Consider the following 12,993-nt stretch of genomic DNA (forward strand, 5'->3'; position numbering starts at 1 on the left):
TTCATTTCTTTGCTGGCTGTTGGCCAGACATGCTCTAAGCAACTGGAGGCCACTCACCAGTTCTTGCATGTGTCTTTAAAGCCATGAGTGGTGCATCAAATCCTTCTTGTGCTTTGAATCTATCTAACTTTCTCATCTGCCACCAGCCAGAGAAAGCTCTCCACTTTTAAAGAACTCATGTAACTATATTAGGCCTCCTCTGAAAATCCCCCTTTTGATTAATTCTAAGCTTACTGATTAGTAACCTTACTTACATCTGCAAAATGCCTTTGCCATCTAAGATAACATAATCATGGGCATGATATCCCATCACAATCACAGTTTCTTGTCTTGAGGATTAGGGCAAGAGCAGTTGGGCCATCTTTAGATTTCGGCCCATCACAGTTGACATCTGCAATTAAAACAACTATTTTCCACTCTCCCCCAATAGAAAAAGGGCTCTTTTGGAACACTCAGTTCCACATCCCCAAATTCCAATGCCTGTCATTTCCCTCTCCTACCACATGAGGCTTCTAGAATGAATTCAGTCTTCCCTACACTTTTCACTTAGGTTTTGCTGAAATATTTTAGCATTTATTTAAATATTTATAATAATGTGTTTCCTGTGTTTCAGCAATTCTTACATTCTGTTGCTGATGTGCAGACATTTTGCAGTCATTCATGAAGATTCAATTATTGTCTATCTTATCCACTGCAGTATCCCCATTGTCAACAACTAAGTTTGGCATATATTAGGCATTCAATAAATATTTGTTGATTGAATGAATTAATATGTATGTATGGCAAGGCTCATTGTTTATTTTTTTTCTATTCACTCTATCTTTTCTTTGGCTTGAGTTCTTATTTTTGGTTCAGTTATATTTTATCTCGACTGTCTCAAGTATTTTTCTCAGAGGGGTTACATGGATGACTCACACTTTGAGTTGTTACCTATACTTGACTATCTTTATTCAGGTGACTAATATCCTGGCTGGATATGGAACTCTTGAGTTGCTATCCTTTTTCTCTGATGTCATTCTATCATCTTTTAGTTTCTTATGTTTAGAGATGGTTATTCCAGTGGCATTATGATTCATTTTTTCTCAGTAGATAATGCAATCTCTCTTCTGGAAGGTTATAACAAGTTTTTATTTATCTATTCGATTTTAAGAATTTTACCTACAAATAACTGGATGACTATCTTTTCTCAGCCGTCTAGCCTGGACCCCTGTGAATACTTTGAATATGCAGACTCATGACTAGGTTCAGCCTGAGAAATGTTTCCCTGGAATTTGTTTATCTATTGCTTCTACTGTATCTGCTCTCTTTTCTCCTCACTTATTGCCCAGATATTTAATTTCCTGGATTTACCCTTCAATCTTTTATCCTTTCTCTTATAATTTCCATATAGCTTTTGGCTCTATGTTTGACATTATTTCTTGCACTTGGTCTTTGGGACTACTAACTTGGGTCTCAAAAGGGACCATTACTTCATGTGCGGAATATATTAATTTTTAAGTCATGTTTTTAGTTTTTTTTGTTGTTTTGTTTTGTTTTGTTTTGTTTTGAGACGGAGTCTCGCTCTTTTGCCCAGGCTGGAGTGCAGTGGCACGATCTCGGCTCACTTCAACCTCCACCTCAGCCTCCTGAGTAGCTGGGATTACAGGCACATGCCACCACACCCGGCTAATTTTTGTATTTTTAGTAGAGACAGGGTTTCACCATATTGGTTAGGCTGGTCTTGTACTCCTGACCTCGTAATCCGCCTGCCTCACCCTCCCAAAGTGCTGGGATTACAGGCGTGAGCCAATGCACTGGGACTCAAGTCATGTTTTTACGACAGGAAGTATTTTCTGTGCAGCCCTTTGGTCTCCCTAAGTACACAATTTAATTGAAGTTTTCATCTGTCTCTTCCCCAGTACTTCTGTTTCTTTATTACCATGGCACATTTTCTGATGGCTTAACTGTTTCTTCTCTTGGGGGTAGCTGGACACTCTTAGGTGAGCTGTTGTCTTTCTTTGTAGCTTATTTGGGACTTAGATTTTATTGATGAGATAGAATAAAGGACACTGGAGGCAAATGGTTGTTAGGATATGGGACCTGTGATGAAAAGGTGGGGTACCAGGCACTGCAAAATATTTCTGCAATCTCCTACCCTGAATGACAAGGCAGAGGCAAATTAGCCAATCCACTGTCTCCTGGTCTCTGGACACTTAGTAAGGAGGGACCTAGCACACTCACCTGGAATCAAGGTGGGCATATCTTCAAGATTTTCCCAGGATTAATTGCCCCAGGTTTTCACTCCATAATCCAAGGAAGCCCCACACCAGTTATCACCAAAAGGATCCCACAGTGCGTAAGGCCTCAACCACACCCCAGGGCCCACAGACTCCAGAGATACCTAGCTTAAGAGAGTCTAGTCGCTTCAAATTGAAGTAGAAGAAAGGGAGTTGTATTCTGATCACCACATTCCTAGAATTACCTAAACTTATTTAACCACAGAACATTCTCATTGAATGACACCTATTACCATCCTAATAGCCAATATTCAGAATTAAAAGTTTGAAGAACACACTTTGGAAAATGCAGATAAACACATCGTGTTAGGGAGCATCATTAATGCAAATTGACTTGTCAGGTTAAAATTTTTTCACAGTGGCTTTGGTCATGGTCAATATTTCAAAAGCAGTGCTTTTGATAAACCAAGAAAGAAAATCATTAAAAAAGGAAATAAAAGTAAAATAAATGTCTCTAAGTTCACACAATGTTATCTGCATATTTTGAAAACAATTTCACTATTTGGTGGGAAGTCAAATGAAGCCATACACAAATTTAATACTCAAATGAGGGGAAAAAAGTTGGCATCAGGGCATTTGCTGCTTGCCAAGCTGAAAGAATGTTATTGAAGATCCCTTACATAAATGTTCCTTGACCTTTGAGTGAACCAACAGGTCTTAAAAGTTGCATTTGCCAAAGCAAGTTCCCATAGCAAATAAAGTTTTCAGATGAGTGCATCAGATTTTTTTCCCTCTTCGGCCTAAAGAGGAATTACCATCAGCCATCACCAGGAAGAGCAAGTTAACTTTTCAGGTTGTTTCTCAGAGACCATTTAAAGTCTGTGCTATAGAGTAGGCATGGCTCCAGTTCCAGAAGGAAGACTTGGGTCAAGTAGCTCACAGGCAAATGACTTAAATGCTTCTTATAAGATACTACCTGAAACAATCTCTGCTTAAAACATCCGATCTCCATATTGTCGGATCTTCCTATAACTCTGGGATGGCAGCTTTTAGTAGCAGCTAAAGATGTAAGTATTTTAAAATCTATTACAGAAATGTTTTATTTGAAAATTTAAAATGTTTTTATGCTGACTATATTAGATTTCTGTTATAAATAAGATTAGTAGCCTAGAAGAAGATTAATAATTGATTATTCTGGAATTTATAGAGCTTTTACATTAACACTTTGGTCACATGTTTAAAAGGTTTCATCTCATTTCCCAGATTGCCTCTACTCCCTCCCTGTTCTACTCCAGTGTGGCATAAAAATGCAAGCTGCTTAAAATTCTCAAAAGCATTTGTATGTCTGGAGTTTCATTGTTTATTTATCAAAGGATAATACCAATTATACTTTTCACTTATCTGGATTTAAGAATGGTGTTTATAGAAAAAATTAAAAAGTAATACCAACTATGCCCAACTTTCCCCCTAAGTGTTAACAGTTAATTTAATGACAAACTTTTCCATTCAAGTAATTAGGTCCTGAAGACAAATATTAAACTTCAAAACAAATAAATAGTTCAAATATACTGGGAGCATAGCAGGAAAGCTAGGATTTTAGTTATTTAAGGCTATCGCAAAAGGGAAGTTTGAAGTGCTATGGAATTATAGTGATGCTGTATGGAGGTTCCAAGAGGAAATAATGAATAACAGGCTGAAACCCATTCACTCTAAGGAACCATCATTGCCATTGCTGTGGCTTAAGCAACTTTTTATTCTCTCTTCCTCTGTTGGATCATTTAGTAGTGGCTAAGAATAAATTTGATTGAAACAAAAGCAAAAACAAAAACTTCCCATATTTAAAATACCTTCTGTAGATTTCACCAAAAAACAAAGGACTTTCAACATGATGACTGCTCCTTGTGGTTTCTTCTAAATTCTGTTGTTCCTGAATAAGCAGAACTCAGCAAGTGGGCCTCTCCCTCCACTGGCCTCCACATATTGCCACCCCCAACCCAAGCAGTATGACCACAGCAGTTTCTGTTCACTCCACATTTGCTTCTTCCAAAAGAAAAGTAGTATACTTTAGTGGTTAAGGAGCTTTGGAATCAGGCAAACGTGAGCGCCAAACCTTAACATTTTCTAGGCAGCCTCTAAGTTTTCATGTTCTCATCAATAAAAGAGCCTAACAATAGTCCTACCTCACAGGCTTAATGTGAGGGTTAAATGGGACCATGTTTGTAAAGGGTTTCACATAGTGTATAAGACATAATAATGACTCATGAATGGTAGTTGAAAATGTGCACCCTCACTTATGAGTCTCTTTTCTTCTTCCTTTTCTCCTTCCCCTGGAGACACTTAGAAAAGAAAGCACGACCAGGCGCAGTGGCTCACACCTGTAATCCCAGCACTTTGGGAGGCCGAGGCAGGCAACTCACCTGAGGTCAGGAGTTTGAAACCAGGCTAGCCAACATGGTGAAACCCCTTCTCTACTAAAGATACAAAACTTAGCTGGGTGTAGTGGTGGGCGCCTGTAGTCTTGGCTACTCGGGAGGCTGAAGCAGGAGGATCACTTGAACCAGGGAGGTGGAGGCTGTGGTGAGCCAAGATTGTACCACTGCACTCCAGCCTGGGAGACAGACAGAGTGAGTCTCAAAAAAAAAAAAAAAAAAAAAAGAATAAAGAAAAAAAAGAAAAAGAAAGAAAAGAAAGAAAGAAAGCGAGGCACTGCACTTCCTTTTTCTGACGCATCAAGCTCTTGTCCTTCTTCTCATCTGTTCTACAGTTTTGGAGGCAAGAGTTCTTACAGTCAGGCTCTGACCTCTTTCTCAGCTTTATCTTCTGCCTCTTCTCCACCCCAAATGAACTTCCTTCCAACTGTCCAACCAAACACTCCAAATATTTTCAAACCTCTATGCAAGTTGTTTTCCCTGCCTAGAGTGCTCTCCTCACCCTATTTCCAACAAAGTCATGCTCATCCTTTAGCACAAATATCACTTATTTTGTGAATTTGAAATATACCTCTATCAGCCTTCTGAGCTCCTCTCTTGTCTGTATTCCCACAGCACTTTGCACTCAACTTTATTAAGTTACAGATCACCTTGGAGTTTGATAATGAATGAATTGCTGTTTTTCTTTACTAGAAGAATATGAGTCTTTACAAGACAAGATCTATTGCTTATATCCCCAGAGTTTAGCCCAGTGCCTGGCACTTAGCATTCAATGATATGTTGATACTTAAAATGGACATTCAACTTTCTTATTTCCCCATAAATTCTATCTTTCCCGGTGGCCTCAAATCTCCTGTAATCTCCACTGTGATGTGTATTGCCCTTAAAACATGAAAGATAGGCCAGGTGCAGTGGCTCACACCTGTAATCCCAGCACTTTGGAAGGCTGAGGCAGGCAGATCACAAGGTCAGGAGATCGAGACCATCCTGGCTAACACGGTGAAACCCCATCTCTACTAAAAATACAAAAAATTAGCTGGGCGTGGTGGTGGGCACCTGTAATCCCAGCTACTCGGGAGGCTGAGGCAGGAGATTGGCATGAACCCGGGAGACAGAGCTTGAAGTGAGCCGAGATTGTGCCACTGCACTCCAGCCTGGGCAACAGAGCGAGACTCCTTCTCAAAAACAAAGCAAAACAAAACATGAAAGCTAGATACTGACACCCTGTCTCAGTTTGGCTCCCCCAAAAGCAGATTCTGCAACAAGGATTTTTAATGCAAGCAATTTATTTGGAAGGTAATCCCCAAAACAAGGGAGGGTGTGTGGTTGGGGGGTAGTGAGAAAAGAAAGGGCAGCCAATGAAGGGTTAGTTGCCATGTGGGTGACTGGGTCTGATTCCTGTGGGAAAACATTATAAAAGAGAATTTCCTCATTCAAGGGATTAAACAGCTAACAAATTTATCCTCAATTTCCAGATAGTTATTAGTGGTAGCTGCTCCTGGAGAATGTTCATTCCCCAGCTCTTCCACCTGCATGTACAGAGTAGCTACACTTGGCTTTGGAGAAAATATCAAAGAGATACAGACTTGGCCTTTCTCCAGCCTTCACTTCAAGAGAGGAATGGGCAACATACACCTCAGGTGTTGGCTCCCTATTGGAAACCATGATGTAGCCCAATCAGCAGCCAGGCTCTGATTTCAACTTGCTGCAGAGTGACAAACATGGAATTTGAATAGCAAAAATTCCCTTCCCAGAGAGAGCAAGCCAGCACTGACAGAGTAAAAAGGATTTTTGGAATAGCTGCTCCTTATTTATACTTTACTTCTAGGATTGTGGGCTAGAAATATACATAAATGGATCATCTGAAGAAAAATATCATTTACATGCAGGGGTGATCCTGTCACAGTCCCAGTGGTCTCAAGGCAGGAAGGGAAAAATCTACTTTTTTGATGATCTACTCCAATATTTAAATGTCCTTGACTTCAAACAACAAAAATAACTTATATTTGTTGGACATTTACTGTGCATCAGAGTGCAAAGCTGAGCTCATTTAATCCTCCCAACCACCTCATGAGGTAATTACTTCTATTATCTGTATTCTTCATATGAGAAAACTGAAGGTCAGATGAATGAAGAAATCTGCCCGAAGTTATCTACTGCTATTAAGTGTTTGGAGCTATTAAGGATACTGTAACCTGTCTTTTTGAATCCAATATGCACAACCTTAACTTACATTTATTAAGTTCATTTTTGCATGCCCTCAATAAAGAGAAAGACCCAGTTACTCAGTGTTGTCCACATAATTCTTCAAATACCCTTTTCTTGAAGCTATCCATTTCTTTATCTATTTCTCTTATATCTTTCTTTCTTTTTTTTCTTTTTTTTTTTTTTGAGATGGAGTTTCGCTCTTGTTGCCCAGACTGGAGTGCAATGGTATGATCTCAGCTCACTGCAACCTCTGCCTCCCAGGCTCAAGTGATTCTCCTGCCTCAGCCTCCTGAGTAGCTGGGATTACAGGCATGTGCCACCACGCCCAGCTAATTTTTGTATTTTTAGTAGAGACAGGGTTTCTCCATGTTGGTCAGGTTGGTCTTGAACTCCTGACTTCAGGTGATCCGCCCACCTCGGTCTCCCAAAGTGCTGGGATTACAGGTGTGAGCCACCACACCCAGCCTATTTCTCATATATCTTTCTTGTTGCCCTGTCTTTACTCGTGTATGCTTCTCTCTGCCAACTTCTTAATTTTGTATATTCCTCAATAAAATATGTCAAAGTTCTATGTATACAAACTTCATCTAGTTCCTGGCAAGTCCATAAATCACAAATCTATTGTTCAAAAATTATCCATAAGCATAAGCATTTATTTTTAAATATTGAATCAAGCTAGCCAAATAAAATTATTATTAAATTTATTCCCTGCTTAAAAATTACAGCATGTGCAACATCAAGCAATTCTGAAGCAGAGAAAAGTCATTATAATCCTCCAAATAATGAAGTGTTGCTTTAGGTGATGAATGTATTCTGATTATGCTCATAAAACAGGCTAACAAAGAAAATTCATTCTTCAACCATTATGTCCAAGAAAAACTATGTCTTAAAGTTGACTTATGTTTACAAATGTGTGGTGGGTTCTTTCAGCACAGCATATTTCCCCAGCTCCTTAAACTGGCAACGTTTTTAATTTCACTTTGCTTCTTTGCCATTTGATCTAGGGCATCTGACATACACAGTGTGGCAAATTTCAACTTTTCTTAAAGTTTAACATTATTGTCACTCTGTAGGTCTTAAATGTCAGCTGTTTCCAAAAATGTAACTGTACACTAATCAAAATCATTGTTTTTGATATGACATTTTAACTCCCTAAAGTATAACCACAATGTGAGTTCAACAGGTGAGAGAGTAAAAGTATGGGGCATATGTTTATGGTACTTAACACTCATTCTTATGTGGCCCTGAATAAGATAAGAGATGCAACTACTCACTTGCCTCCTCATGACTTCAGTGACTCTTGGTGCATTTGTTGGCTTTGTCTGTTCTCCCCTCTAGATCCACCTTCTCCATCTTGCTCTGTGCCTTTAGGGGCTGACCTATGTGGACTCTATCAGTGGGATCTCTTGCCCTCTGCCTTTAAGTTGGTTTTGTGCAGTGAAGAGCACTGATTCCATCTTTAGGTAAATTTGTAGTATCATTTTACAGCGATTTATTCATTCATTCATATAATAAATATCTATTGAGTGCTGACTATGTGACTGACACATTCTGTGCTTGTCATTGGAGATGCAGTGGTAGCTAGATAAATGTAGATTTTAGGTCTAACGGTCCTAACATTTTCCCTTATAAATCCCATGTTGAAAGTATTTGCCATTTTTTTTTGAGATGATGATTTACAGACATTTAGCATGCCTCAGTCAATCGGAAATAGCAAAATAGTGTGTAAAGATCAACTCTGTTAGCTTTAATTCAAGAGGGAAAACAGGAATCCACTGGAATAGAGAAGCATGCCCCAGATCCTGCAGAGGAGAAGACGGGCAAGCAGTCCCATTGATGGCATTCTACTGATAAAAATCAGTACAGTACATTGCCTGAAGCAAGAGACAGCTTCTCCCAGTAAACAAGGATCAAGTATATACCCAACTGTGTAGGCTGCAGCCAGCTCTTATCCATAAGCACCATCCGCTGACTGGAGATTAAACTGCACAGCACAATAGAAAATCTGCTGACAGAAGTACACAGCACTGGACTAAGTTTCCTGACACCTCTGCATTCTGGCCCCACAGGAGGCAGTGAGCCTACTCACATGGCCAGTACATCACTACTACAACCAGCATGTGGGAAAGCCACCAAAAATGCTATCTACAATCAAGGAACTTATACATACTGTTCACTGAAAGAACCTAGAACCAAAGCCAAAGGACTCTACACAACATACATTATAGACACCTCCTCAAGGGGAGGAAAACCTCATCCAAATGAAAGCAAATTCAAAACATAAGAAAGAGAGATAGCTTACCCAGACGACAATAAACCAGAAAAACATACTGGTTTATTAAAATTCATACTCAACCTGAAAGTATGAATAGACAGATAGAAAACCACCCCCAAAGGATCACACTCATGCTCTAGCAATGGATCCTAACTAATACGAAATATTTGAAATACTAAATAATTTTAAATTAGTGATTTTAAAAAAGCTCTATTATATTCAAGAAAAAGTTGAAAACCAACACAAAGAAAACAAAAAAATTCAGGATATGAAAGGAGACATATCATTTTTCAAAAACCAAACAGAACTTCTGGAAATGAAAAATTCATTGAAAGAAATGCAAAATATAGCTGAAATCTATAACAGTAGACTAGGCTAAGTGTAAGAAAGATTTTCAAAGTTGGAAAACAGGTATTTCAAATTAACCCAGTCAGATAAAAATAAATTAAGAAAAACTTTTTAATGAACAAAGGCTTTGCAAAATATGAGGTTACATAAAGTGTCCAAACCTGTGAGTTATACTTGTTCCAATGGAAGAAGATGAAAAAGTGAAAAGTACAGAAATCTTATTTGAGGAAATAAATCAGGAAAACTTCCTTGGTCTTGAGAGGGATTTAGACATCAAGGTACAAGAAGCTCAGAGAACTCCTGAAAGATACATTGCCAGACAACCTCACCAAAGCATTTAGTCATCAGACTATCCAAATTCAATGTAAAAGAAAAAATCCTAAGTGTCAAGAGAGAATTGTCTAATTACCCACAAAGGAAATCCCATCAGACTAACGGTGGACTTCTCAGAAAAAACCTTCAGGTCAGAAAAGATTGCGAGTCTATTTTTAGCCTCCTTAAAGAAAAAGAAAATGTCAGTCAAGAATTTTGTATTCTGCCAAACTAAGGTTCATAAATAAAGGTGAAGTAAAATCTTTCCCAAACAAATGCTAAGGGAATTCATCACCACTAGACCAGTCCTACAAGAAATGCTCACAGGAGTTCTAAAATGGAAAGAAAAGGACAATACTCACCATTATAAGAGGACACATAGGTACAGAGTTCACAGATCCTATAAAACAATTACATAATTGAAACTCTAAGGCAACCAGCTAATAACACTATGACAGGAACAAAACCTCACATATTAATATTAACCTTGAATCTAAGTGGCCTACATGCTCTACTTAAAAGATATAGAGCGGCAAATTGGGCGGGGTGGGGGGACAGTGTGAGGAACAAGACCCAACCAACTGCTACTACAAGAGACCCACCTACTAGCTAAAGGCAGCTATAGACTCAAAGTAAAGAAGTGGAAAAATATATATTATGAAAATGGAAAACAAAAGCAAGCAGGAGTAGCCATCCTTATATAAGATGAAACAAACTTTAAGCCAACAACAATAAAAAAAGACAAAGAGGGTCATTATATAATAACAAAGGGTTAAATACACAAAGAAGATGTAACTATTCTAAATATATGTGCACCCAACACCGGAACACCCAGATTCATAAAACAAATACTACTAGACCTAAGAAAACAGATTGATAGCAATACAATAAGTGGGGACTTTAACACCTCACTGACATCACTAAATAGATACTGGGATAGAAACTCAACAAAGAAACTCTGGATTTAAACTGGACTATAGAAAAAACAAACGTAATAGACATTTATAGAACATTCATTCTATCCAACAACCACAGAATATACGTTCTTCTCATCCATGCATGGAACATTCTCCAATTGACCATACACTTAGCCATAAAGCAAGACTCGAAAGAGTCAAAAAAATTGAGGTCATATCAAGTATTTTCTCAGACCACACTGAATAAAATTGGATATCAATACCAAGCAGAACTCTCAAAACTAAACAAGACATGGAAACTCAACAACTTGCTCCTGAATGACCGTTGGACAAATAACAAAATTGAGGCAGAAATCAAAAAATGTTTCAAAACAAATGAAAATAGAGACAAACACAACATACCAAAACCTCTGTGATACAGCAAAAGCAGTGCTAAGACAAATGTTAATAACATTAAATGCCTACATCAAAAAGATAGATCTCAAATTAACAACCTAATGTCACACCTCAAGGAACTAGGAAAACAAGAATAAGCCAAAGGCAAAACTAGCAGAAAAAAAGAATTAACAAAGATCAGAGCAGAACTAAATGAGACTGACAACAAGAAAATAATACAAAAGGTCAAAAAAACAAAACATTAGTTATGTGAAAGATAAACGAGATTGATAGACCACAAGGTAGATTAACAAAAAAAAAAAGAAGATTCAAATAAGTACAATCAGAAATTATAAAGGTAACATTACAACTGATATCACAGAGATAAGATCAGAGGCTACTATGAGCACCTCTATGTGCACAAACTAGAAAACCTAAAGGAAATGGATAAATTCCTGGAAAACTACAATCTCCCAAGATTGAACCAGAAAGAAACAGAAATCCTGAACATACCAATAACACTTAATGAAATCAAATCAGTAACAAAAAAACTTCCAAAAACAAAAATAAAGAGCCAGAACTAGACAAATTCACAGCCAAATTTCACCAGACATAACAAAGAAGAGCTGGTACTAGTCTCACTGAAACTATTCCAAAAAACTCTAGCAGGAGGGATTCTTTCCTAACTCATTCTACAAAACTAGTATCATCCTGATACCAAAATCTTGCAAAGACACAACAACAAAAGAAAACTACAGGCCAATATCCCTGATGAACATAGACACAAAAATCCTCAATGAAATACTAGCAAACTGAATCCACAAGCACATCAAAAAGTTAAGTTGCCACAATCAAGTGGGCTTTATTCCTAGAATGCAAGGATGGTTGAACATATGCAAATCAATAAACATGATTCAGTACATAAACGGAACTAAAAACTAAAACCATATGATCATCTCAGTAGATGCAGAAGAAGCATTAGATAAAAATCAAACATCCCTTCTTGATGGAAATTCTCAACAAATTAGGCATTGAAGGAACATACCTCAAAATAATGAGTCGTATGACAAACCCACTACCAACATCATGCTGAATGAGGAAAAGCTGAAAGCATTCCCCCTAAGAACTAGAACAAGACAAGGATGTTCACCCTCACCACTCCTATTCAACTGGAATAGTACTGGAAGTCCTAGAAGAGCAATCATGCAAGAGAAAGAAATAAAAGATATCCAAATTGGAAAAGAGGAAGTCAAATTATTTCTGTTCACCAATGACATGATTATATACCTGGAAACGCTTAAATACTCTTCCAAAAGACTCTTAAACTTGATAAACAAGTAAAATTTCAGGATAGGCTGGGCACAGTGGCTCATGCCTGTAATCCCAGCACTTTAGGAGGCCAAGGCGGGTAGATCAAGAGGTCAGGAGATCGAGACCATCCTGGATAACACAGTGAAACCCCGTCTCTACTAAAAATACAAAAAATTAGCCGGGCGTGGTGGTGGGCACCTGTAGTCCCAGCTACTCAGGAGGCTGAGGCAGGAGAATGGCATGAACCTGGGAGGTAGAGCTTGCAGTGAGCTGAGATTGTGCCACTGCACTCCAGCCTGGGCAACAGAGCGAGACTCCATCTCAAAATTAAAAAAAAAAAACAATTTCAGGATAAAAGATCAACATACAAAAATCAGTAGCATTTCTGTATACCCATAACATGTAAACTGAGAACCAAATCAAGATCTCAATCCCATTTACAATAGCCAAAAATAAAATGCCTAAGAATGTATTTAGCCAAGGAGATGAAAGATCCCTATAAGGAGAACTACAAAATGCGGATGAAAGAAAGCATAGATGACACAAACAAATGGAAAACATTCTATGATCATGGACTGGAAGAATCAGTATTGTTAAAATGA

At 38.2% G+C, this 12,993-nt stretch overlaps 1 long non-coding RNA gene across 1 annotated transcript in view; it reads left to right on the forward strand.

The window, feature by feature from the left end:
• The first annotated feature begins 3,003 nt into the window (after positions 1-3,003).
• Positions 3,004-12,993, forward strand: part of LOC105377273 (uncharacterized) — a 44,709-nt gene continuing 34,719 nt past the window's right edge. The window contains exon 1 of the long non-coding RNA XR_938873.2: positions 3,004-3,283. This is a non-coding gene — a long non-coding RNA (uncharacterized LOC105377273). The remainder of the gene's footprint in view (positions 3,284-12,993) is intronic.

The sequence above is a fragment of the Homo sapiens genome, chromosome 4, assembly GCF_000001405.40.
Source record: "Homo sapiens chromosome 4, GRCh38.p14 Primary Assembly".
NCBI classification, from domain to species: domain Eukaryota; kingdom Metazoa; phylum Chordata; class Mammalia; order Primates; family Hominidae; genus Homo; species Homo sapiens.